This window comes from Homo sapiens, chromosome 4 (assembly GCF_000001405.40).
Source record: "Homo sapiens chromosome 4, GRCh38.p14 Primary Assembly".
NCBI classification, from domain to species: domain Eukaryota; kingdom Metazoa; phylum Chordata; class Mammalia; order Primates; family Hominidae; genus Homo; species Homo sapiens.
Genome location: NC_000004.12, coordinates 24,726,240 through 24,749,924, shown reverse-complemented (window position 1 = coordinate 24,749,924; position 23,685 = coordinate 24,726,240). Strand labels below are relative to the sequence as shown.

Here is a 23,685-nt window from a genome sequence, read left to right as displayed (position 1 = left end):
TGGATTGAAAGATGCAGAGTATTAATCCTCAGTGTGTCCATGAGGGTGTTGCCAAAGGAGATTAACATTTGAGTCAGTGGGCTGGGAAAGGCAGACCCACCCTTAATCTGGATGGGCACCACCTAATCAGCTGCCAGCAAATAATAAAGCAGCCAGAAAAGCATGAAAAAGTTAGACTGACCTAGCCTCCCAGACTACATCTTTCTCCTGTGCTGGATGCTTCCTGCCCTTGAACATCAGACTCCAGGTTCTTCAGTTTTGGAACTCTCTCTGACTCTTCTTGTTCCTCAGACTACAGATGGTGTATTTGTGGGACCTTGTGATCGTGTGAGTTATTATTTAATAAACTCTCCTTTATATATATCTATATATCTATTCCATTAATTCTGTTCCTCTAGAGAACCCTAATACACACACACACACACACACACACACACACACACACACACCCCTCTTATTGGTTTTATTTCTCTGGAGAACCCTGACTGATACAGGGGTACTAGCTCTTCTTATTATCACTTTTACCCTTTTTTTTTTAGAGCTAAGAAGCCTTACTCAGAAGCTCTATTCTCATTGGCCAAATTTGGTGAATGAGGCTAAAATGATTGCCTTAGACCAACCTGAATTAATCCAAGCGACTCAGGGGAGACGTGGCTACTGGAACAAAATTAAGAATCCAGCATGGAAGAATGAGGAAAGGCCTGCCAGTGTCAGCTGCAGCAGAGGGCAGAGGAGTTCACGGCCAAGCACGCCTAGGTCAGGACCCAAGCATACAGGCACAGCAGATAGGAGTTGGCCAGAGACCAACAAACTCAAGTCGAGGATCCAGTCCAGCGAAACATTTCCTGGTGTATCTTTCTCAAGGCCAGGACTCATCCCAGCAAATGAGTCTGCTGGAATCTCTAAGTGTGTGGAAATGGGAAGGTGCTGAAGGCAGACCCTGTCATCCAATCTTAACAGGAAGAAATATTTCCCCGGCTACGGAAATGTAGAGATGTTGGAGATTTTGCCCACTTGTGTCCCATGACTCATTCTTACCCTTCAGATGAATCTGAAGATGCTGCTGCCCTTCAGCGAGTCCTCAGTGGCAGACACATCATCCGTCCCTGAGAGGCAGGCTGTGAACATCCATTATCACAGAAAGTAAGTCCATCTCCACACACTGGGTGTGGCAAAGAACTGCAAACATGGGGTCCCTTCTCTTCCGGCACTTATACTCTACTCCAAATCCCAAAACATAAGCCTATAATTAACATCGCTCCTCTCTATAAGGAATACCTTCTAAATGCAGGATGACCTGACACGTCCGTTGCCATTTCTTTCTCACAACAACATAGCGGGTTATCTTTATAGTTATTCCCATTTTGCAGGTGAGGAAATGGAAGCTCAAAAATATTCCCTCCGTGTTCAATTTACATGAGTGGCAGAGTTGGGACTCACACTCAGCTGTGATACCAAAGCCTGTATTCTCACCCACAGTATCTGTGGGGACAAATAATGTCTATTGGAGTTTCAGAAAGAGAGAAATGTTTGCAGATGGGATAGGGGTAAAGAGCACAGATTTCCTGAAAGGACAGTAGTTTAATGAAGCTCACCTTGAACGATGAATTGAATTTATTCTACACTTGCTTTCCTTTCTCAGTGTGAGACAGTGAGACACAGTAGGAGCAATGAATCTCCCAAGGTCATGCCACAAGTCACTGGCCAAGCCTGGCCTGTCACTCAAAGCTCTGAATTCCCAGCTCACTGAACTCAGCGGTTGAAGCCACCATGGTGGGGCTGCGTCAAAATAAGTCTGGAATAAAACACCCACCTACAATGTTTCCCCTTCTTCGACTTTTCCCCACTGTGTCCCCTGTCTTCTCCACAAACAACCTTCTTATGACCCTTCCCACTGATCCATAAACTGTCCCAGGAAATGCCAGGATCTGAACATCATATTGGCCATGAGGGACTCGGTCAACTTCTTTGCCTTCTGGCTGTTTTAAATAAACAAAGGGCAGTTCACAAGTTATTAGTAAATACCAAGGCTTAGTTTATTGTATAAAACTTCAATCCAACAAATAAATGAGCCATCAAGTTTGAATTTATGTAGCATTCAAAACACATTAAAGCCATTTGACCATGACAAAGGCCTTTCCTGCTTTGAATGATGAAGCCAGTACTGCAAATACCCTTTGGATGAGACATTAAGTGAGGTCCTTTCAGTTGGTCTCTGGGGACTGTCAAGGTGGAAAGTAAAGATTCTGAAACTCTGCTAAAGAATTATTTGGGGAAAATCCCATCCTGGCTGATATCGCCTTTCTCAAAAAACAAACCTACAAACAAAAACAAATTTAAAAAAGGGTTTGTAAACCTATAACAGTCAGAAGAATTAGTCACTCATCTAGCTGACCACTCTTATGCCCTTATTTCCCTTAAGATATCCCGGAGAGACACCAGGGAACACATGGGTTCTCACGAAGGGATGCTGGTAGCTTATTCTATGAGGCTCCAGCTTCTATTGTGGCCTGTCTGTGAGCAGTTTCTCCATCTGCAAATTGGCTGTAATACCTCAAAGGGCATGATGAGCAATGAAGAGATAATACAGGAAAAAGCATTTTTTTAATTCCAAAGTGCTGTTCAAATAAAAACTGTCATTATTAATAATATGTAAAGATAAGGCTGGGCCTGGTGGCTCAAGTCTGTAATCCCAGCACTTTGGGAGGCTGAGGCAGGCAGATCACCAGGTCACAAGTTCGAGACCACCCTGGCCAACATGGCGAAATCCCATCTCTACTAAAAATTCAAACAGTAGCCGGGCGTGGTGGTGGGTGCCTGTAATCCCAGCTACTTGGGAGGCTGAGGCAGGAGAATCACTTGAACCTGGGAGGCAGAGGTTGCAGTGAACTGAGATTGTGCCATTGCACTCCAGCCTAGGCAACAAGAGCAAGATTCCGTCTCAAAAAAGAAAAAAAAAGTAAGGATAATAGTCAGTCTCACCTTCTCCATTTTAGTTTGCTTTCTTTTGCTATAGGCAATAGAAAGTTTCTCATTTCTGTGGCTGTTTCTACTTTTGCAAGGAGCCCTTGGGGCTTGCAGCTGCTATTAATGATTATGGGAGTCTTGGGATTTGACACATTGGAGTTAAGCTCCCTCTGCAAGGCCTGAGCCTCTGCATAAGCAGGCAAGTTTTAGGCAGGCATCCCCTGGAGATGTAGAGTGCCTAGAAGGAATTCTATTTGTGTGGCCTCCTTCCCAATGCACCCCCCAAGCCCAACCCAAATGAAGATCAAAGACAACATTGAAAGTATCCCCTCCACAAAACACCAAAAAAGTAGAAATCCAATTAGTCTTAGTAGGAGGGGTTGAGAAGGGAATATGTATTCAACAAACAGTAGCTGTAATCCCAGCTAGTAGGGAGGATGAGGCAGGAGAATTGCTTGAACCCAGGAGGTGGAGGTTGCAGTGAGACAAGATCCTGCCACTGCACTCCAGCCTGGGTGACAGAGTGAGACTTCATCTCAAAAAAAAAGGTTGCTTTGAAGGTTAAAGTTCAAGTGAGATGATGAGGGTAAAGCCTCCAGTATAACATCTGGAAACTACTAAGTATTTGCTACAGACTGAATATTTGTGTCCCATCCAAAATTCATATACCAAAACTTAACCCCCAATGTGATGGTATTAGGATGTAGGGCCTCTGGGAATGATAAGGTCATAAGGTGACTAAGCCCCTGAATGGGATTAGTACCTGTATTAGTCCATTTTCACACTGCTGATAAAGACATAACCAAGACTGGGCAATTTACAAAAGAAAGAGGTTTAATGGACTCACAGTTTCACATGACTAGGAGGCCTCACAATCATGGCAGAAGGTGAAAGACACATCTCACATAGCGGCAGACAAGAGAAGAGTACTTGTGCAGGGAAACTCCCCTTTACAAAGCTATCAGATCCCATGAGACTTATTCACTATCACAAGAATAGCATGGGAAAGACCCAGCCCCCCATGATTCAGTTATCTCCCACTCTGTCCCTCCCACAACATGTGGGAATTGTGGGAGCTACAATTCAAGATGAGATTTGGATGGGGACACAGCCGAACCATATTAGTACCCTTATAAAAGGGACCCCAGAGAGCTCCCTCACTTTTCTCACCATGGGAGGACACAGGGACAAGACAGCCACCTATGAACCTCCTTCAAAAGGAAGCCAGCCCTCATCAGACACTGAATCTGCTGGCATCTTGATCTTGGACTTTGCAGCCTCCAGAAATGTGAGAACAATTTCTGGTGTTTATAAGCCACCTAGTCAATGGTATTCTGTTGTAGCAACCCCAAGAGACTGAGACAGAATTGAATATATGATAGCTATTTCTCCTACTACTATTATTATACCATGGTGGGATCTCAGAGAACAGAATCCTGCTCTGGCAGAAGGCACTGAGGAAAGCCATGCAGATTATCAGTATATTCAGGGAAGGTCCCACGTCCTAATGGAAAGACACAGCTGAGCAAGTTCCTGAGGCTGCCTATGAAAAGACAGGCAGATCTTTCGGCTAAACCACAAGATTCCTGGGTGTGTGTGTCCATCCAACCAACAACATATTTTTAAACACATCACGTGTACCTGGCACTGAGTATAAAGTGGTGAACAGATGTAGCTCTGCTCCTGTGAAGCTATAGGTGAGGAGGATGGAAAAAGTTAACACAAACACATAAGCAAATAAATATGTAATCACAAATTGAGAAAAGCTGAATGAGCGTAATGTATAGAGTGCTGTGCTACAGAATAATCTAGGAGGTAACCTATTTAGAATAGATGATCAAGGAAGACCTGTCTGAGGAGGTGACATTTAAAACAGACTTGAAGGATAAGAAGCCAGTCAGCAGAAAAGATTGGGGCAAAGTGACTTGAGACTTGCCCAGGAGGCTTCTTAATAGCAAATCTTGTTGGCAAAATGGCTCACCTGCAATGTTTCAACCAATGTTGCAGCAAAAGCTGGTGAGTGACCCCTCTTCATCATTAGTGCAGAGATGAGATCATCTGGCTTTAAAGGTGACCCTAGAGAGATCCCACCACAGGGAGCTGGGATATACTAAACAAAGACACCCGTAGGGGCTGATGAGTTGTCGTTCAAATTCTCTCCCAATTCTTCATAAGATGCATTGAATGAAGGGGTTGGAAGTGAATTGGAGGAAGCAGTGGAGACTGGCCTCCCAGTGACCTCGGGTCAGTTTTCCCAAGCCCCGAAAGGAGCACTATTGCTATTTATATTTCAATGTAAATCAAGCCTACTTCAACTAGCAAGGCTGTGTAAACTTGTGTTTAATGTCAGGTTTATATTAATATTTGCATTAACAACATTGATCGTTTACATAACAATGCATACGTAAAGTCTGGGCTAGGTTTGGGTTTACACACATTTGCATAATGTTTACAGATTGATTGATTAGACAGACTGTGCATAAATCCAAGTAAACTGCTAGTTGTTTATTTTTTCTATTGGGGCTTGGTAGCTTATATCTTAATAAATGGCTAAACTGAACCTAAGTCCTCTATTATAACCTTCACAGAAGATTTAATAGTTCTGAAAAGTAATTTTCACTGAAAAAGAGTGAGATGAAATCACTGGGCCTATTTTTTCCCTTAATCTCCAGCACTGAGTGGTTAAAAAGGAGGACACTGGCTTAAACTGTGCTCTAATAGAGATAAAACCAGGCCGGAGGGGGAGTATCTGGACTCAAGACTCCTGCGTGAGCCATTGCTAAGAGTTTCTTAGAGAGGCTCAGGTTTGGCAGGGACCTTTGTGGGCCCTGGGAATCTTCACTACCAGCTGGTCAGAGAAGCGAGGTGGAGCGTGGCTTCCTTTCATTCCCTGAATGCCTCTGCCTGGGGAGTAATGATCTGGATACTTAATCCCCAAGCAGAGGGAAGCTTGAAAAAGGACAGGAAGAGTAGAAGAGATTTCGGAAGAGAAAAATACCATTCAAAAAGCAATAAAAACAGCAAATTTTTTTTTTTTTTTTTTGAGATGGAGTTTTGCTCTTGTTGCCCAGGCTGGAGTGCGGTGGTGCAATCTCAAGTGCAACCCCACCTCCCAGGTTCAAGCGATTCTCCTGCCTCAGCTTCCCAAGTAGCTGGGATTACAGACATGCACCACCACACCCGGCTAATTTTTTTTTGTATTTAGTAGAGACGGGGTTTCACCATATTGGTCAGGCTGGTCTCGAACTCCTAACTTTGGGTGAGCCACCCGCCTCGGCCTCCCAGAGTGCTGGGATTACAAGCATGAGCCATCATGCCCAGCCCAAAAACGAACTAATTTTAAAAATGCTTTTTTGTATTTTGTGTGGACCTCCAAGAGTTTGGTAAATCACTTCCTCAGCTCACGGCACATGGTCTGTAGGTCCATGCAAGGCCCTGAGCTCCATTCTCCAATCCAGTTCATTCCCACCCCTCAAAAGGCAGCACTCGTGTGCCCTGCAGGTCTCTTTGGAGACTGTAGGAATAAACAAAGACCTACCAAATGAGAACAGGCAAGGGCTCTTTATTCAGAGCTTGTTGTATAGCAACAGACAGCCATCGCCACTTGCATTTGGCAGAGACTCAAAGGCAGGCAGAGGAGTGAGGAAGATTTATGGGGGAAAGCGAAAGCTTTGGGTGTGCCCTGATGGGAGGCTGTTGGCCTGAAGAAGCTGGAGGAGACTAACTAAAAGTGGGGCATCTTATGCGATTGGTTAGGGGTGCATATTTGACTTTCTCTAATTGGCCTCGAGTTGGAAGTGGGAACAAAAATTATGGAAGTTGCGAGTTGTTAATCAAGTCCTGGCTATTTGAGATCAATTGTTACAAAAGTTACTGTTTAGCTTCTTGAATTGTTACTAGAGATAGCATCTGACTTTCTAGATGTCTGACTTGCAACAGGCTGGCTTCCCGGGCTGGCTATTGCAGATAAAGATTTGGTTTCCTGGGCAGGTTGCTGCAGGTCGTGAGTCCCAGTTCTATTTTCAAATATGGTCCTACCACTGTTCACGTGTACATTCAGTTTCTCAAGATACAGATATCTTACAAAATATGTAGTGTTGTTTTCTGTGGGTATGTTATTAAATGGCATTGTGCTAAAGATCTCTTGATGTTCTTAACCTTTTTTCTTACTCAATAGTATGAGTTAAAGATATATCTGGGTTGCTGTCAATACACACATAGCTCCTTGGACCTTATGGTTGCAGCTGCTACATACTGTGCACCCACCAGGACACACCTTCCACATTTTATAACAAGTTGCCTCCGGTATCCACCATCACTAACAACACTGAGATGAATATTTTCATATTTGTTCAATTAAAGGATGGTTTGCCAGAGTTCCCTGTTTATATACTCAGGATAGGAGGGTTGAGTCATAATATATGTGTTTCTTTAGTGTCAGTATATAGCACCAGATTGTTCTCAGAATGGTTATAAAAGTTGATATCCTATCAACAGTGCATGAGAGTTCTCATTTTCCCACATCGTTGCCAATGCTTTGTAGTAACAGGCTTTCTTTCTTTCTTTTTTGAGACAGGGTCTCCCTTTGTTATCCAGGCTGGAGTGCAATGGCACAATCTTAGCTCACTGCAGTCTCGACTTCCCAGGCTCAAGCGATACTTCCACCTCAGTTTTCTAAGTAGCTGGGACTACAGGCACACGCCACCATGCCCAGCTAATTTTTTGTATTTTTCTTAGAAACGGGGTTTTGCCATGTTATGCAGGCTAGTCTCAAACTTCCTGAGCTCAGACAATCTGCCTGCCTCGGCCTTCCAAAGTGCTGGAATTACAGCCACCACGCCCAACCACTGGTGACAGGCTTTCTATTTATGGAAAATAGGATGGTATTCAGTATCTACTTCATTGATGTTTTAATTTTCCACTCATTTATTACAAGTGAGTGAACATCTCATCACATAGTTATTACACATACAAGATTTTCACTTCTGTGAAGTGTCTATTCATACATTTTTACTTGGTTTTCTTGTTCTTCCCTTGTTGATTTGCAGAAACTCCTCATTTATTCTAGATGTGAATCCTTTGTTGGTTTTGAAGGTTGCAAATGTTTTCTCCTAGTCTGTCATCTTATTAAACAAAATTTCTGAATTTTAAAAGAAACAAATCCATCAATTCTTTGTGCATTTTGGGGCCACTATCTTAGAAGTTCTTCCCTAGCGTTAAGGAATCAAAAATAATCTCTTCTACTTCTATCAGCTTTATTGAAGGAGTTTTTAACTAGATTGGCGTTAACCTGGAATTCAAGATGTCAGTGAACTTGGATGGGAAAAAATACATTTTTATTTTCAGTAACCTCTAATAGACATTTAATATTTCTTCTGATTATGAATGTGGGCAACAAGCCACAGTGGTAGTAGTAGGCTTTCAATTTTGTCTCCAAAAAAAGTATATTTTTAGCTTACATTACCATTGTTGCATATATTTCAAAATTGTTTTTTAGTGCCACATTTCAAAATTGCTCTAGCTGTTAGATTTGCTGCCAGATCTGAGTAATGCTTGTATTAGTCCATTTTCTCAGATATTAGTCCGTTTTCATGCTTCCCAACACTGGGAAGAAAAAGAGGTTTAATTGGACTTACAGTTCCATGACTGAGCGTCCTCAGAATCATAGCGGGAGGCAAAAGGCACTTCCTACATGGCAGTGGCGAGAGAAAAATGAGAAGGATGCAAAGCAGAAACCCCTAATAAAACCACCAGATCTCGTGAGACTTATTCACTACCATGAGAACAATATGGGAGAAACCACCCCCATGATTCAAATTCTCTCCCATCGGGTCCCTCCCACAACATGTGGGAATTAAGGGAGTACAATTCAAGATGAGATTTGGGTGGGGACACAGAGCCAAACCATATCAATGCTTTAATACAGAAGCATGTATTTTACTTCACAAGTTTTAAAATTTCTACATAATTGTTTCTTTTGATAATCCTATTTTATTTTATGCATTTAAAAATATTATGCTGAGGAGTCTATAGGCTTCCTCAGATTACCAAAAAGATATATATTAACAACACTGTTTTATAGCTGTACCTTTCACAATTAGGAGTTAATCTGAAGTTCATCTTTGTATATGGTTTGAGTCAAATTCCTGATTCACACCATATGCCAATACCATATGCAGAGTAATCCTTTCCTTCCCCATGGACTGATTTCTGGTGCCATCTTTATTATGACAAACTTCCCATTCATACCCAAGTCTTCCCCTGAGTTGCTGTTCTATTCTATCAATCATTGCCTGGTCCAGGCTAAAATTTTAAGATGTAGAGCAGGAGGGATGGAGAGTGGAACTGGGCACACCCATGATGTCTGCATTTGGAGGTTTATTTTATTTTAGTTTTTTATTAAATGTTAATTTTTTCTGTATTTGTTTTTAATATAAAAATTAAAGACAGACTTTTAAAAATATTAGTAAAAATGTATGATTTAGGATTCTTGGATTTTGGATAAGATTACTGAGTTCTCTCACAGTCTGTATCAGGAAATCACAAACTGTTTTTTGTAAAGGGCCGGACCATAAGTATCTTAGGGTTTACAAACCCAGGCTGCTTAATTCTGCCCTTGCAGCATGAAAGCAGTCACAGACAATGTGGGAGCAAATGAACTTAGCTGTTTCAGTAAAACTTTATTTACAAAAACCTGCTGGCTGGATTTGGCTTACAGGCTATAGTTTTCCAACCCCTGTCCTGTATCACTTGAAGTATTTTCTTCCCCATATAAGGTATCAATGTTCTTTACTGTGAAAGTCATCAAAGAAATTATTATCTTTGATTAAAGACCCATGTCTGTGGAGCTGGGCGTTAGATGTCCACATATGCTATCCCAGCACTATTCATAATAGATAACATAATAGAAAATTGTATCATAAAAGATAACCCAAATAGCCAGAAGTAAGAAAACTATTAAGACAATTCTGATAAATCCAAATAATAGACTATTATGTAGCCATTTAAAATGTTTATGGAATTTTTAAATAAGATGCACATGTTTATAATATGTCAACTTTTACATGAGAATAAAAATAATACATATAAAATATAAACTATGTTTTAAAATTCATAGAGAAAAGCCTAAAAGGAAAAACATTAGTGACAGATCTGGGTGAAATTATGAATGATTTTTATTATCTTCTGAATATGTGTCTGTATTTTCTACAATTTCTACAGCAGACCTGTATTAATTTTAAAACAAATGCTGTATTGTTTTAGTGTAAAGAAAGTTTAAAAGATGGCATCCACAAAACAATCTGCATAAATCCACTTAACATCAAGGAACACTGAGCAGATGGACAATGGAAATGCTCGTTTAGTAACAGCACAATAATTCAGAATATCAAGTCAAACCAAAGCCATTTGTAACTTTAATTGGGGTATTGAAAAAACAAGTAATTAATAGTAAACAATATTTTAGAAAATATTTATTAACACTGGGGACTCTTATCAGAGTCACACGTAGTATGCTAGAGTTTTTCAGGGATTGTCTCAATTAATCTTTCCAAAAGCCCTCTAAGATAGGTACTGCTAATATAATCATCATCATCATCATCCCCATTTTATAGAGGAGAAAACTGAGGCTTATACTCTTAAGAACTTGGTTCAAGCTCTGTGTACCTAGAAAGTAATGGAGATTGGGTGCAAATCCAGGGAGATATGATGCCCAACTGAAGAAATTGAACTCTTATAGAACTTTAAAAATAACTATTAGAGGCATGGCATTTCAGGCCAGGCACAGTGGCTCACACCTGTAATCCCAGCACTTTGGGAGGCTGAGGCAGGTGGATCACCTGAGGTCAGGAATTCGAGACCAGCCCAACCAACATGGAGAAACCCTGTCTCTATTAAAAATACAAAATTAGCCAGGCATGGTGGCACATGCCTTTGATCCCATCTACTTGGGAGGCTGAAGCAGGAGAACCACTTGAACCCAGGAGGCGGAGGTTGCAGTGAGCTGAGATTGCGCCACTTCACTCCAGCCTGGGCAACAAGAGCAAAACTCCATCTCAAAAAAAAAAAAGAAGAAGAAGAAGCATGGTATTTCCATCAGGTGAGGTAGTAGTTTCAAGTGGGATTATTAATTAGTCACAGCAACAGTTCCCAACAGGATCTCTGTTTGCCAAAATTTGATCTAGCTGTCTTTATGTTCTAATCTCTGGAAAAGCAGCATTTCTTTAAAAATGCTCTCCAGTCAGACCTTTCACTGGTTTAGACACTGGTTCAGCCAAGAAATCATCATGCCTTCCTTCCAGCTCACCCCTTTGCATCCCTTCTGCTTCAGAATTACAGAGCTTGTATTTTCCAGCAATGCACTGCAGTAGTTGCAGTGGGAGGGCTTTGACTTTGGATGGCTTCCTCAGGAAGGCACACACTGGGCCCTATGAGCCATACTCCTTGTATTAGTCCATACTCACACTACTATAAATAATAACCCGAGACTAGATAATTTATGAAGAAAAGAGATTTAATTGACTCACAGTCCCACAGGCTGTACAGGAAGCATGGCTGGGAGGCCTCAGGAAACTTACAATCATGGCAGAAGGGTGAATGGGAAGCAAGGACATCCTCACATGGCAGCAGGAGAGAGAGAGCAAAGGGGGAAGCGCTACACACTTTTAAACAATGAGATCTCATGAGAACTCACTTACTATTGTGAGAATAGAAAGGGGGAAATCCACCCCCATGATCCAATCACCTTCCACTAGGTCCCTCCCTCAACACTGGGGATTACAATTCACCATGTGATTTGGGTAGGGGCACAGAGTCAAACCGTATCATTCCAGTCATTCCACCCCAGCCTCTCCCAAATCTCATGTCCTTCTGACATTTCAAAATGTGGCCGTCTTTTCACAGCATCACTAGGCAATACCCTAGTGAGGACTCTGGGCAGGGGCTCCAACCCCACATTTCCCCTATGCCTGCCTGAGTAGAGATTCTCCATGAGGGCTCTATCTCTACAGCAGACTTCTGCCTGGACATCCAGGCATTTCCATATATCCTCCGAAATCTAGGTGGAGGCTCTCAAATCTCAACTCTTGCCTTCTGTGCACCTGCAGGTCCAACACCACATGGAAGCCACCAAGCCTTGGGGCTTGTGCCCTCTGAAACAACAGCCCAAGCTGTACCTTGGCCCCTTCCAGCCATGACTGGAGCTGGAGCAGGTGGGATGCAGAGCACCATGTCCTGAGAGTATACAGAGCCATGAGTCCCTGGCCCTGGCCCACTAAACCACTTTTTACTCCTAGGTCTCCAGGCCTGTGAAAGGAGGGGCTGCCACAAAGGTCTCTGAAATGCCCTGGAGGCATTTTCCCCATTTTCTTGGCTATTAACATTCAGCTCTTTTTTACTTATGCAAATTTCTACAGCCTTAAATTCCTCCCTAGAAAGTGGGTTTTTCTTTTCTACCACATGGTTGGGCTGCGAATTTTCCAAACTTTTACGTTCTGCTTCCTTTTTAAATACAAGTTCTGGTTTCAGGTCATTTCTTTGTTTATGCAAATGAGCATAGGCTTTTAGAAGCAGCCAGACCACATCTTGAATGCTTTGCTGCTTAGTAATTTTTTCTGCGAGATACCCTAAATCATCTCCCTCAACTTCAAAGTTCCACAGACCTCTAGAGCAGGGTCACAATGCCGCCAGTCTCTTTGCTAATGCATAGCAAGAGTGAACTTTACTCCACTTCTCGATAAGTTTCTTGTCTCCACCTGAGACCACCTCAGCCTGGACTTCCCTGTCCTTATCACCATCAGCATTTTGGTCACAACCATTCAACAAGTCTAGGAAGTTCAAAACATTCCCTCATCTTCCTATCTTCTTTTGAGCCTTCCAAACTATTCCAACCTCTGCCCATTACCCAGTTCCAACATCACTTCCACATTTTCACATATCTTTATAGCAATACCCCACTTCTGTGGTACCAATTTTCTGTATTAGTCCATTCTTGCACTGCTATAAAGAAGTACCTGAAACTGGGTAACGTATAGATAAAAGAGGTTTAATTGACTCACAGTTCCACAGGCCATACAGAAGGCATGGCTACGGAGGCCTCAGGAAACTTACAATCATGGAAGATGGTGAAGGGGAAGCCAGCATGTCCTACATGGCTGGAGCAGGAGGAAGAGAAAGTGAAGAGGGAAGTGCCACACACTTTTTTTTTTTTTGAGATGCAGTCTCACTCTGTCACCCAGGTTGGAGTGCAGTGGTGCTATCTCTGCGCACTGCAACCTCTGCCTCCTAGGTTCACACCATTCTTCTGCCTCAGCAGCCTCCTGAGCAGCTGGGACTACAGGCGTCTGCCACCATGTCTGGCTAATTTTTTTGTATTTTTAGTGGAGACGGGGTTTCACCATGTTAGCCAGGGTGGTCTCGATCTCCTGACCTCGTGATCTGCCCATTTGGGCCTCCCAAAGTGCTGGGATTACAGGCGCCACACACTTTTAAACAACCAGATCTCATGAGAACTCACTATCTCAAGAACAGCAAGAGGGTAATCTGCCCCATGATCCAATCACCTCCCACAAGGTCCCTCCCCCAACACTGGGGATTACAATTCAACATTAGATTTGGGTTTGACACAGAGCCAAACCATATCACTCTTCACGTGTACTTGTCACGCTGACTTCTCTCGCCTTGCTCCAACAGGCCCTGCTGCCTCCTACTGGAGGCATTTGCATTTGCTGTTCCTTCAGCCTACAATAGCTGTTTCCAAAATCTTCTAATGGCTGACTCTTCATCATTCAGGTCTCAGCTCTAACGTTACCATCCAGAGAGCCCTCCATGCTATCCGTATCTAAAATTGCCCCCCATCCTCCACCCAGCATGAGCAATTCCATTCTTGTTATTTGATGCATTTTTTTCTTCATAGCACTGCACCTGTTTGTAACCCTCTCGTTAATTTTTAAATGTGTGTTGTTTATGCCCTCCATTAGAATATTAGTTCTTTGTGGACAAAAACCCAGCATGCAGTTTTTGCTACAGTCCCTGTTCCTGGCACCTAGGAAGGCCTCAGTAAAGATTTACTGAGTAAGGCCAGGCTTGGTGGCTCATGCCTGTAATCCTAGAACTTTGGGAGGCTGAGGTGGGCAGATCACTTGAGGTAAGGAGTTCGAAACCAGCCTAGCCAACATAGTGAAACCCCATCTCTACTAAAAATACAAAAATTAGCTGGGTATGGTGGTGTGTGCCTGTAATCCCAGCTACTCAGGAGGCTGAGGCAGGAGAATCTCTTGAACCCAGGAGGCGGAGGTTGCAATGAACTGAGATCACACCACTGTACTCCAGCCTGGGCAACAAGAGCAAAACTCCATCTCAAACAAACAAACAAAAAAAGATTAACTGAGTAAATGATCCCATTTAATTTTCCCAAAAAACTCATAAAGCAAATGCTGCTCTACAGTTGAGGGAACTCAAGCTGAGAGAAGTTAAACAATTTCCCAGGTCACACAGCTAAAACCTGGGAAGGACAGGGGTTTGAAGCCAGGGTTTGTCTACCTCCCATTATTTTAACCACCTTCTATTTAGCCCATTGATGACAAGGAGATTCTCTCCCTAGGGCTATAGGAATAGCTGAACATGAGACGCCTAACACTGGACAGCTGAGATCAGCAGCAGTTTACTAGTGACATATACTCACACCCAAAGAGAAGAATTGCTGCACCATGCAGGGCCACACGGGGGGGTGCAATTGAGAGCAGAGTGAACCATAAGAGGTTGTGGAAGGCAGGTTGTGTAGTATCAAGAGGGTGGGGTCCTCCTTGGTTCCCACGAGAGGATAGATTGGCTTGTTTAGATAATTCTGCAGACTAGCAGAGAACTGAAACTGGCTACTCAGGGATAAGCAAGAGCTACACCTGGCTCATTTAACAAGAAGGGTCCTTTGGCCACGGGACTCTGTGGGACTCTAGAGTGGGAATGGGAACTTGTGATTAGGCATTTGAGACCCTCCCAATATTACCGGATGTCAAGGTACAGATAATATTAGACCTTAATTTTAAGTTTTACACCACCCCATATTAGAAACCACATGAATACTAAAAGAGAAAACAGGAGGACTTGTAGTAAGGAGATGAAGTAGAAGTGGCCTTTCAATAAGGCAGCCTAAAAATAGACTCAGCCAGCATCCCTCAAGAAAATGCATGGTTCTTTCCAAATGCCTTGCAATCTTCCAGAAATTCTTTCTTATTTCAACAATACTGCAAAATTGGCAAGGCTGGTCTCTCTGGGAAGAACCTCAAGGGCAATATTTTAGGGCATTTGAGCTCACGAGGATGATAGAAGATGGCTGACTTGCATCCTGCAACTGGTTCAACACCTACCCATAATACCAATGGGTTTTGCTAGTATGGTTTTAAACACCCATAAAAATCAAGCTTTATTGATGGGGAAAACATAATATCTTCCTGGAAGTGGGCCCTGCTTTGTGCAAAGAGAGTACACACAATGTTCCAAATATAGATAACTGACCCAGGAGTCCTCTGGGGCTACTGTGGCCTCAGACATAAACACAATGGAAGAACTCGTTAAAAGCAGCGTGATTGGCATCTAAGTCATGTCACTCTTGCCTGCATTTTAGATACTTAGTTGTGTCAAATATCGAATTACTTTCATCTGTGTGGGATGAAGAGCTGTTTGAAGCTCTTGCTCATTTTGCTTTGGGCATGCGTGTGTTGTTGTTATTGTGATGTTCTCTTCATCTCTTTGAGATTGAATTCTTTCTGCACTTTTACACATCCATGCAAAAGAGAGGAAGTGAGCATTGAGGCCGACAGTCCTCTGACTGGCTGGGGAGATGTGCAACCTTTTTAAATGCATTGCTTGGAGATGTATCTCCTATGTGCCTTTCCTCCCCACCTAAGTGTGCACATGTGCACACACCACACATACACACACACGCACACAGCTGTGCACTAATGCCACAGACAGTCTGGGTCGAACCTACCTTTGCCACTTGCCACCTCCCTCTTTCACCCCTGCCGTAGAGAATATTTGCAGACATTTCAGTGTCTTCACCTCCTGACAGTCTTCTGTTTGGAATGCTTTTCCCCGCCACTCTCCTCTCTCCTTCACCTGCCATCTCACCCTCTTTCACTGGTTGACTCACACTCACCCTTCAGAGCTCACTTCCACACAGAGGTACACATTTTAGTTAGAACCCTGCATTTCCCCTTTGTCATCCTCTGTGTTTGGAGGCTGCCCTGGGCCTGCACACAGCAGCCCCTTCAGCTACAATATGGAACGTTGTCAGACGACAGGGGCAAGACCACTGCACCAGCCAGGAGGGTTGCACCTGTTCATTTCTTTCTTTTTTTTTTTTTTTTTTTGAAGCAGAGTCCAGCTCTGTTGCCCAGGCTGGAGTGCAGTGGCACAATCTCGGCTCACTGCAACCTCTACCTCCTGGCTTCAAGCAATTCTCTGCCTCAGCCTCCAGAGTAGCTGGGATTACAGGTGCCCACGACCACGCCCGGCTAATTTTTTGTATTTTTAGTAGAGACGGGATTTCACCATCTTGGCCAGGCTCGTCTTGAACTCCTGACCTCGTGATCCACCCACCTCGGCCTCCCAAAGTGCTGGGACCACAGGCATGAGTCACTGCGCCCGGCTGCACCTGTCCATTTCTTTCCCTGAATTGTTCTCAAATTGGTCTTCTTCCTTTCAACGCTGTTTCCTGCCCATTTCAGATCACCATTGATATCCCATAAAATACGTTAGCCGCCTTTTAACTGGCCCTGCCTCAAGGGATCTGATGAGGCAAGCGGCACAATCTTTTGCCTTGGGCTTCATTCCTGGATTCTGTACTATAGAGGGCCCAGCTCTGGCTCTCAGAGCTCTTGGGTCTCAGCTGCACCCCTCCCTATGGAACAAGGAGTCTGCAGGCTAAAGGAACGTTCCCAACAAAGCCCTATCTGGTCCTCCACCTGCAGACGGTTCCAGATTAGAATGCAGACACCCAGGACCCTGCATTACTGATATTCCAGCCCTGAGCCAATTCTGGGCCTGCACAGGACTCCTCCCCTGAAGGTGGAGCCACTGCTAGTGTCCACACTACCAGGCCTTGAAGTGTGGTCAAGGGGTAGCAGTTTCCCTGGGAGTGGGATGTGGAGGGAGACTGGACATAGGATGGTGGAAACACACACCTGCCCAAGTCGGGAGAATCTGGGGAGGGAAGAGACAAGAAGCAGGCAGCAGGCTGTAGGCCCTGCAGATGTGAGGACAGGCTGAGGTTGCTCCCTGTCTTGAATCCTCAAGGACTCCCTAGTCCTTTCAGGAAATAATGCAAACCCCTTAGCATTGATATAAGGCCCCGAGGGAGCTTTCCCCTTCTGTACTTCTCCAACTTCAACCATGTCTCACAGTTTTCTTTCAAATTCTCATTCCAGACCCACTGAACAATTTGCATGCCCTTAGCAAATAATTGATCCTATTTTATCGTGACTCCTTTACTTTCTGGGCCCACTTTTCCCCACTAGACTGTGTGCTTCTTATCATGTCTTGTCCTCCGCAGATGTCTCCCCAGCATCCAGGATTGGGCTTGGCACGCAGTAGACTTCTGGGAAATACGGTATATTGGGGGAGGGGAGAAAGCAGGAAAGGGCCAAAAGAGCTGTGTTTCTGCCTGTAGGATTTGTACCTCTGAACCTCTGAGAGCAACCCCAGGCCACTTGGCAACACTTTGGGATGCTTCTAAGAGCCCTTAGACTTAGTTGAGTTCAGGAAGAGGGGAAAATGTGAGCGAGAAGAACATAGAATAAGTAACAAGAAATATTTGTATGGAGATAATGATGAGAAACAAGCCTTCATGAGAAATTATTCCAGAATCAGAAGCTGCAGTTCCCACCCTGGCTCTGCCAGGAGCTTGATGTGTGGACTCTAGTTCAGGGCATTGCCTGGGGGCCCAAGTTCTGAACTACCTTAAGCTCTGGATGTGGGACACTGCTGTGCACACTATATTAAGAGATGCAGAAATATATTTTAGGTAGATTAAAAACATACAAAAACAATTTCAGAATTATTTTGCTGTCTGCTGCCACCATTGCTTTTTTCATTTAGAGAAGGCATGTTCCTGATATAACCCTAGATTGAGGCATCCATAGACAGGTGCATTATTTCACTCCTGGTTCCACCACTTATCATCTATGTCAGAGGTCAGCAAACATTTTCTGTAAAGAGTCAGATAGGAAATACGTTAAGTTTTGCAAGCCTATGCTTCTCAACTCTGCCTTTGCAGTGCAAAGGTGGCCACAGACAATGCAGAACTGAATGGACATGGTTGTGTTTCAATAAAACTTTATTTACACAAACAGACAGTGGGTCGGATTTGGTCCACTGGCCATAGTATGCAAACCCCTGATCTCTATGATCTCCAGCATCTCAAACCTTATCTGAAAAATAAAATGGGATATGATATCTGCCTCTGCAGAAGATAAAGAAATGTTATATGAAATTATTTTGAAAACTAGAATGAACTAAAGCACTAGCAAAGTATACATTATTAGTAATAGCAGTAATGTTACTATGCTATAGTTAGTCTCATTAATAAATCACATTTGTTAAGTACCCACTATATACTAGCTGCATTGTATTGATGATATTACTCAATCTTCACAAAGATCTTGCAAAAGAAAATGGTTACAAACATACAGATGAGGAAACTGAGGCTCAGAGGCTGTGACTCAAGGGTTACATAGGAAGTCAGAGGTAGGACTGAATTCTAATAACAGTTCCTGGATCCAAAATAGTGACCTCAAAAAAAATATATAATGTGTTAAGGATGTAAATAACAGATATATATAGATGAGTACATGGCTGCCAACAGATGGGCCGCTGTTGCATTTAGTCAGTGGGATAAGATCAGGTAACTTTCTTGTTGCTATCAAGTGACAGACACCCCATGCTTGCCATGGTATTTGGGTGCTGGACACTCTTCCCTGGTGGAAAAAGGCCTTTCCTGGCAGGGTCCCAGATTGAAATCCTAAACGAAGCAAGCTACCCGTGATGGGCTGTGTCAGTGTTGGAGGGCTGGCCATCTCTGCAAGGGATTGTCTGAGTCACAAGGCAGCCCTCCAGAACTTTCTGGGCCTGCCCAAAGCCAGGCCTGCCTCGGCCCCACAGGGAGGCGTGAGCAGCCGGCGCCACTTGAACGCCGAGTCTCCTGCTTCGAGGAGGCCAGATTTAGCAATCTGTCACACACAGCCCGCCTCATTGTGGCACTGGGCTCCAAGAGGCTGGCAGCGCGGGCAAGCAGAAAAGCATCTGTCGGCATGCCACACAGACAGGGATTAGAGAGGATGGGGGAGGATAATTATGGCATTTGCTTTCCTGTAAAGTGTATGTCAGGAGGAAAGGATTAAGCTAATTGAAGAAATCTCCAGCACTTACGTCAAAGGTGGTTGAAAAGCGATTGCTTTATCTTGCATCTCACCTGCTTCTGAGAGCCTGGCTCAAGGAGGCCTACCCACATCTCCACTTTGTCCCCAGCAACTCTTTGCAGAAATAGTTTGAGTTGGCGTTAGCCATTCTGCAAAGGAGAGAGGAGCTAAAAATAAGAGCATGTGAAGGATGCTCCCCACCTTTTTTTTTTTTAATTTCCAAAGCTCACACCAAGTTTCTCAGAGAAAGATGGAAAGCTGATTTTCCTGAGGTTTACATATTTGTGTACGTGTGACAGGTGAAATAAATGGCACCTGTATTGCACGTACTACACGGGGACAGGTGGCAGCCGCCCTCAAACTCTATCTCTTTTTCATCTCTCTGGAACATTAGCTTATGCTCCTGAGGGCCAGGCTGCATGCAAAGAGAAAGCTCGGGCTTCAGGATCATTTATCATCACTCTCCCCCGTGCAAAACCCAAACATCTCCAAACCCAAAACCAACGGAAAAAGGCAGGAATAGTCTTTTGTCTTCTGTCATCCAGATGGAACTTGGTTTTTGAGTTCCAGGTGACAGGTATTGGAGTTGCTGTGGTAATGAATTTGGAAAGGAAGTAAATAGATTTCCTCTTTCTTTTAATTCCAAATATTATACTACATTTACACAAATATGACTTGCCCAGTGGACTATCGTTTTTCAAAGAATAAGATACCACATCTGGAAAACATAGTTGGCTGCCTAATTTTTGCCATAATGCATCTTTAGACTGCTTAGAAAACGGATTGCCAGAGAAATCTTAGAAATATTTGTTCTAGTGATTAGGACCAGAAAGCTGGCTCCATTCTCTGTCGCTTTCTAGCTCTCTGACTTTGGGTGAGTTATTTCAACTCACTTTGATTTCTTCATTTGTGATAGCTCAAGAAAAGCATCTGGCATATAGTAGGGACTAAAAAATGGGCACCGTCATTGTCATTATCATCATCTTATTCATCTACCAGAAAGGCATAAGGTATTATATTAGTCAGAGGTCTCCAGAGAAACCGAACAAATAGAGTGTGTGCATATATCCTATTATACACGATAGAGATACAGACTTAAACATAGAAAGAGATTTATTTTTAAGGAATTGGCTCACACGATTATGAGGGCTGGCAAGTCTGAGATATGTAAGGCTGGCCAGCAGGCTGGAAATTCTGCCAGGAATTGATGTTGCAGTCTTCAGTGCAAAGGCAGTGTGGAGGCAGAATTCCTTCTTCTTTGGAGGATCTCAGTCTTTTTTCTTAAGGCCTTCAACTGATTGGATGAGGCCCACCCCCGCTATGAAGCATCATCTGCTTTACTCAGAGTCTACTGATTTAAATGTTAATCACAGCTAAAAAAAAATATCTTCCCAGCCACATCTAGACTGGTGTTTGATGAAGCAGCTGGGCACCATAGCCTAGCCAAGTTGACACATAAAATTCACCATCACAGGTATGTCATCTTATTTCAGGTTTTCATCTTATACAGGTTTTCAGGGAAAACCTAACCCAACTATGCAGTAAACATTGAATAAGCCAGGCGTGGTGGCTCATGCCTGTAATCCCAGCACTTTGGGAGGCCGAGGTGAGTGGATCACTTGAGGTCAGGAGTTCGAGACCAGCCTGACCAAAATGGTGAAACACCGACTCTATTAAAAATACAAAAATTAGCCAGGCATGGTGGCAGGCACCTGTAATCCCAGCTACTTGGGAGGGCGAGGCAGGACAATTGGTTGAACCTGGGAGGTGGAGGCTGCAGTGAGCCAAGATCACACCACTGCACTCCAGACTGGGCGACAGAGCAAGACTCTGTCTCAAAAAACAAAATGAAACAAAACGAATAAATCTTAGATTTACAACATGCTATCTTAAAAGGAACAGCAACAACAACACAAAAGGTACAACAATCACCTGCTTAGCCCCCTTGGAACCTACCAGAAATCACAGCTGGCGTCCCAGGTTCCAGACCCCTCTGCCTTTGGGTTAGTGTGTGGTTTTAGGTAGGTTCCTGAGAATCTCTAAACTTCCGCAGCTGCAACTCATACTGAACATATCCGCCCTGCCTTCACAGGGGAAAGGTAAGAATAAAATTAAGCAACTCTTGGGAAGGGCTTTGTAAATAAACTTTTAAATGTCTTAACATAAGACATTTTCCTACGCGAAATGTAGTGCTCTGGACAGACTGAGTCCGATTATTTGTACTAAAGCCAATAAAAGGCAACTCTAAAATGTCATAAGTTTGACCTAACTCTAATATGTTAGCTAACAAAATCATTAATGTTTTCAGTTAGAATTAATTTCCTCGCCTTCTCGTTAATCACATCTAATTCACATCCAAACGCCGTTCTTGGGATTTAGAATGGCTTTTGGATGTGAATTAGATGACCAAGTTGTCTGAACACTAGCCTTTTTCCTCTCCTCTCAATAAATTTTCACATAGAAAACATTTCATTGCCTTTGAGCAGGGCTCAAAGCAGCAGGTCCAGCAAATGTTTGTTGTAGGATAATTCATTCATTACAGAGATATTTATGGAGCCCTCGCCTTGCAACAGGCAGCTTGCCGGGGTCTGGATGAAGAGGGTGGCGACTTTAAGTGCTGAGAGCCCAGTCATGGGATAGCATAAGAATTTGATAGATGTCACTATTTATCATTGGTTCATATATTATTATGTGACCATTTTTATAAAAGTAAGACAGGATTAATGATTTTAAATAAAGGCATGGCTGAGCCCAACATTCTTTCCAACCTCGGCAGCTTTTTCAAAGTTCCCAGGCTTGCGCTCAGCATCAGTATAATATCACAGCAAAGCCAAGGCACCAACAGATCAGAAGAGTGAGGCAATTGTTCTTTGGAAAACTTCACCATCAAAGGAAATTGTCTTGTGTCGTCTCTCAGACCACTTCACACTTCTTTGGGAAGCAATAAAAACAATTACCAGGTCATTAGTAAAGGTTATTGTTTTTTTAAGATTCAAACACCCGCTCTCAGAATGACCTTAGCATGCATTTCAGTGGCAGGCAGTTGCTGTAGTGGAAAGAGTGAAAGCTTGGGAGCAGAAACCAAACGGCCCTGCAGCAGGTGTTTAACCTTTCCCGGGCCTCAGTTTCCTCAGCCCTACACTGAAGCTAGGAGTCCCTGCCTATCTCTTTGACTGTAAAGAGGTTGAAATAAAATGACTTGGAACTGGATGCAGAGGTACAAGTCAAGCCTGGGCAACATAGCGAGACCCTGTCTCTTAAAAAGAAAAAAATGGCCCGAGAATGACTGCCACCACTAGCCTGGCACTTGGAAAGTGTTCTGTAAATGCAATTCCTTCCATTCCCAGGCTCCAAGTTACCTGTGTTTGGGGCTAAAGATATGAATCAATAAAGCAGAAAAGATGGAAGTGAGCTCTGGATTCATCGGAATAGGCTAGGTTGTGCTACAATAACAATCTGAAAACCTCAGCAGCTGAAAACAACCAAGTTCATTTCTCACCACACCTCACGACCATCCATCATGGGTTGACAAGCGAGCTATACCCACCTTAGCCACTCAGAAACCCAGGCTGGCAAAAGCTCCATCTGGACTCATGACTCCAAGATCAGAGGAAGAGAAAAGGAGTATAGCAAACAATACACTAGCTCTCAAAGTTTCTGCCTGGACGTGATACACGTTACTTGCACTCACATTTCATAGACTGAAGCAAGTCATATTGCTGCACTGAGTAAATGGCATGGGGGTGTATTGTCTTACCACAGTCATAAAGACTGGAGGTGTAGGAAGGGACCATGGTACAGGAACTTGGCTCAAGCCAATTTCCATATATAATTAAAAAGTATGTGGAATTCTAGCAAAAGTTTAGGCTTTGAATCGTGTCACATCAATAAAAATTATTTTCTATAGGGGCTGGGTGTGGTGGCTCACGCTTGTAATCTCAGCACTTTGGGAGGCCGAGGCAGGAGGAACATTTGAGGCCAGGAGTTCAAGACCAGCTTGGGCAACATGGGAAGACCTGATCTCTACAAAAGATTTTAAAAATTAGCCAGGTGTGGTGGTGTGCACCTGTGGTCCCAGCTACTCAGGAGGCTGAGGTGGGAGGATCACTAGAGCCCAGGAGGTCGAGGCTGCAATGAGCCATGATCATGTTACTGCATTCCAGCCTGAGCAACAGAGCAAGACCTCATCTCAAAAAAAAAAAAAAAAAAAGAATTTCCTATAACCCATAGTTTGCTTTAAACATTTGGACCTGTATTTATTCAATAATCTGGTTACATATCTTCAATGCTCCAAGCACTGTTCTAG

General features: G+C 43.4%; 4 annotated features.

Annotated features, from left to right (window-relative positions):
• Nucleotides 1,832-2,377: an enhancer, noted in NCBI's record as "NANOG hESC enhancer chr4:24749171-24749716 (GRCh37/hg19 assembly coordinates)". NCBI's record gives its function as "activates a minimal SCP1, AML or CMV promoter by ChIP-STARR-seq in naive H9 embryonic stem cells {active_cell/tissue: H9 hESC(naive)}" and the evidence as "EXISTENCE:reporter gene assay evidence [ECO:0000049][PMID:30033119]".
• Nucleotides 5,569-6,101: an enhancer, noted in NCBI's record as "OCT4-NANOG hESC enhancer chr4:24745447-24745979 (GRCh37/hg19 assembly coordinates)". NCBI's record gives its function as "activates a minimal SCP1, AML or CMV promoter by ChIP-STARR-seq in naive H9 embryonic stem cells {active_cell/tissue: H9 hESC(naive)}" and the evidence as "EXISTENCE:reporter gene assay evidence [ECO:0000049][PMID:30033119]".
• Nucleotides 19,128-19,628: an enhancer, noted in NCBI's record as "H3K4me1 hESC enhancer chr4:24731920-24732420 (GRCh37/hg19 assembly coordinates)". NCBI's record gives its function as "activates a minimal SCP1, AML or CMV promoter by ChIP-STARR-seq in naive and primed H9 embryonic stem cells {active_cell/tissue: H9 hESC(naive and primed)}" and the evidence as "EXISTENCE:reporter gene assay evidence [ECO:0000049][PMID:30033119]".
• Nucleotides 21,861-22,599: an enhancer, noted in NCBI's record as "NANOG hESC enhancer chr4:24728949-24729687 (GRCh37/hg19 assembly coordinates)". NCBI's record gives its function as "activates a minimal SCP1, AML or CMV promoter by ChIP-STARR-seq in naive H9 embryonic stem cells {active_cell/tissue: H9 hESC(naive)}" and the evidence as "EXISTENCE:reporter gene assay evidence [ECO:0000049][PMID:30033119]".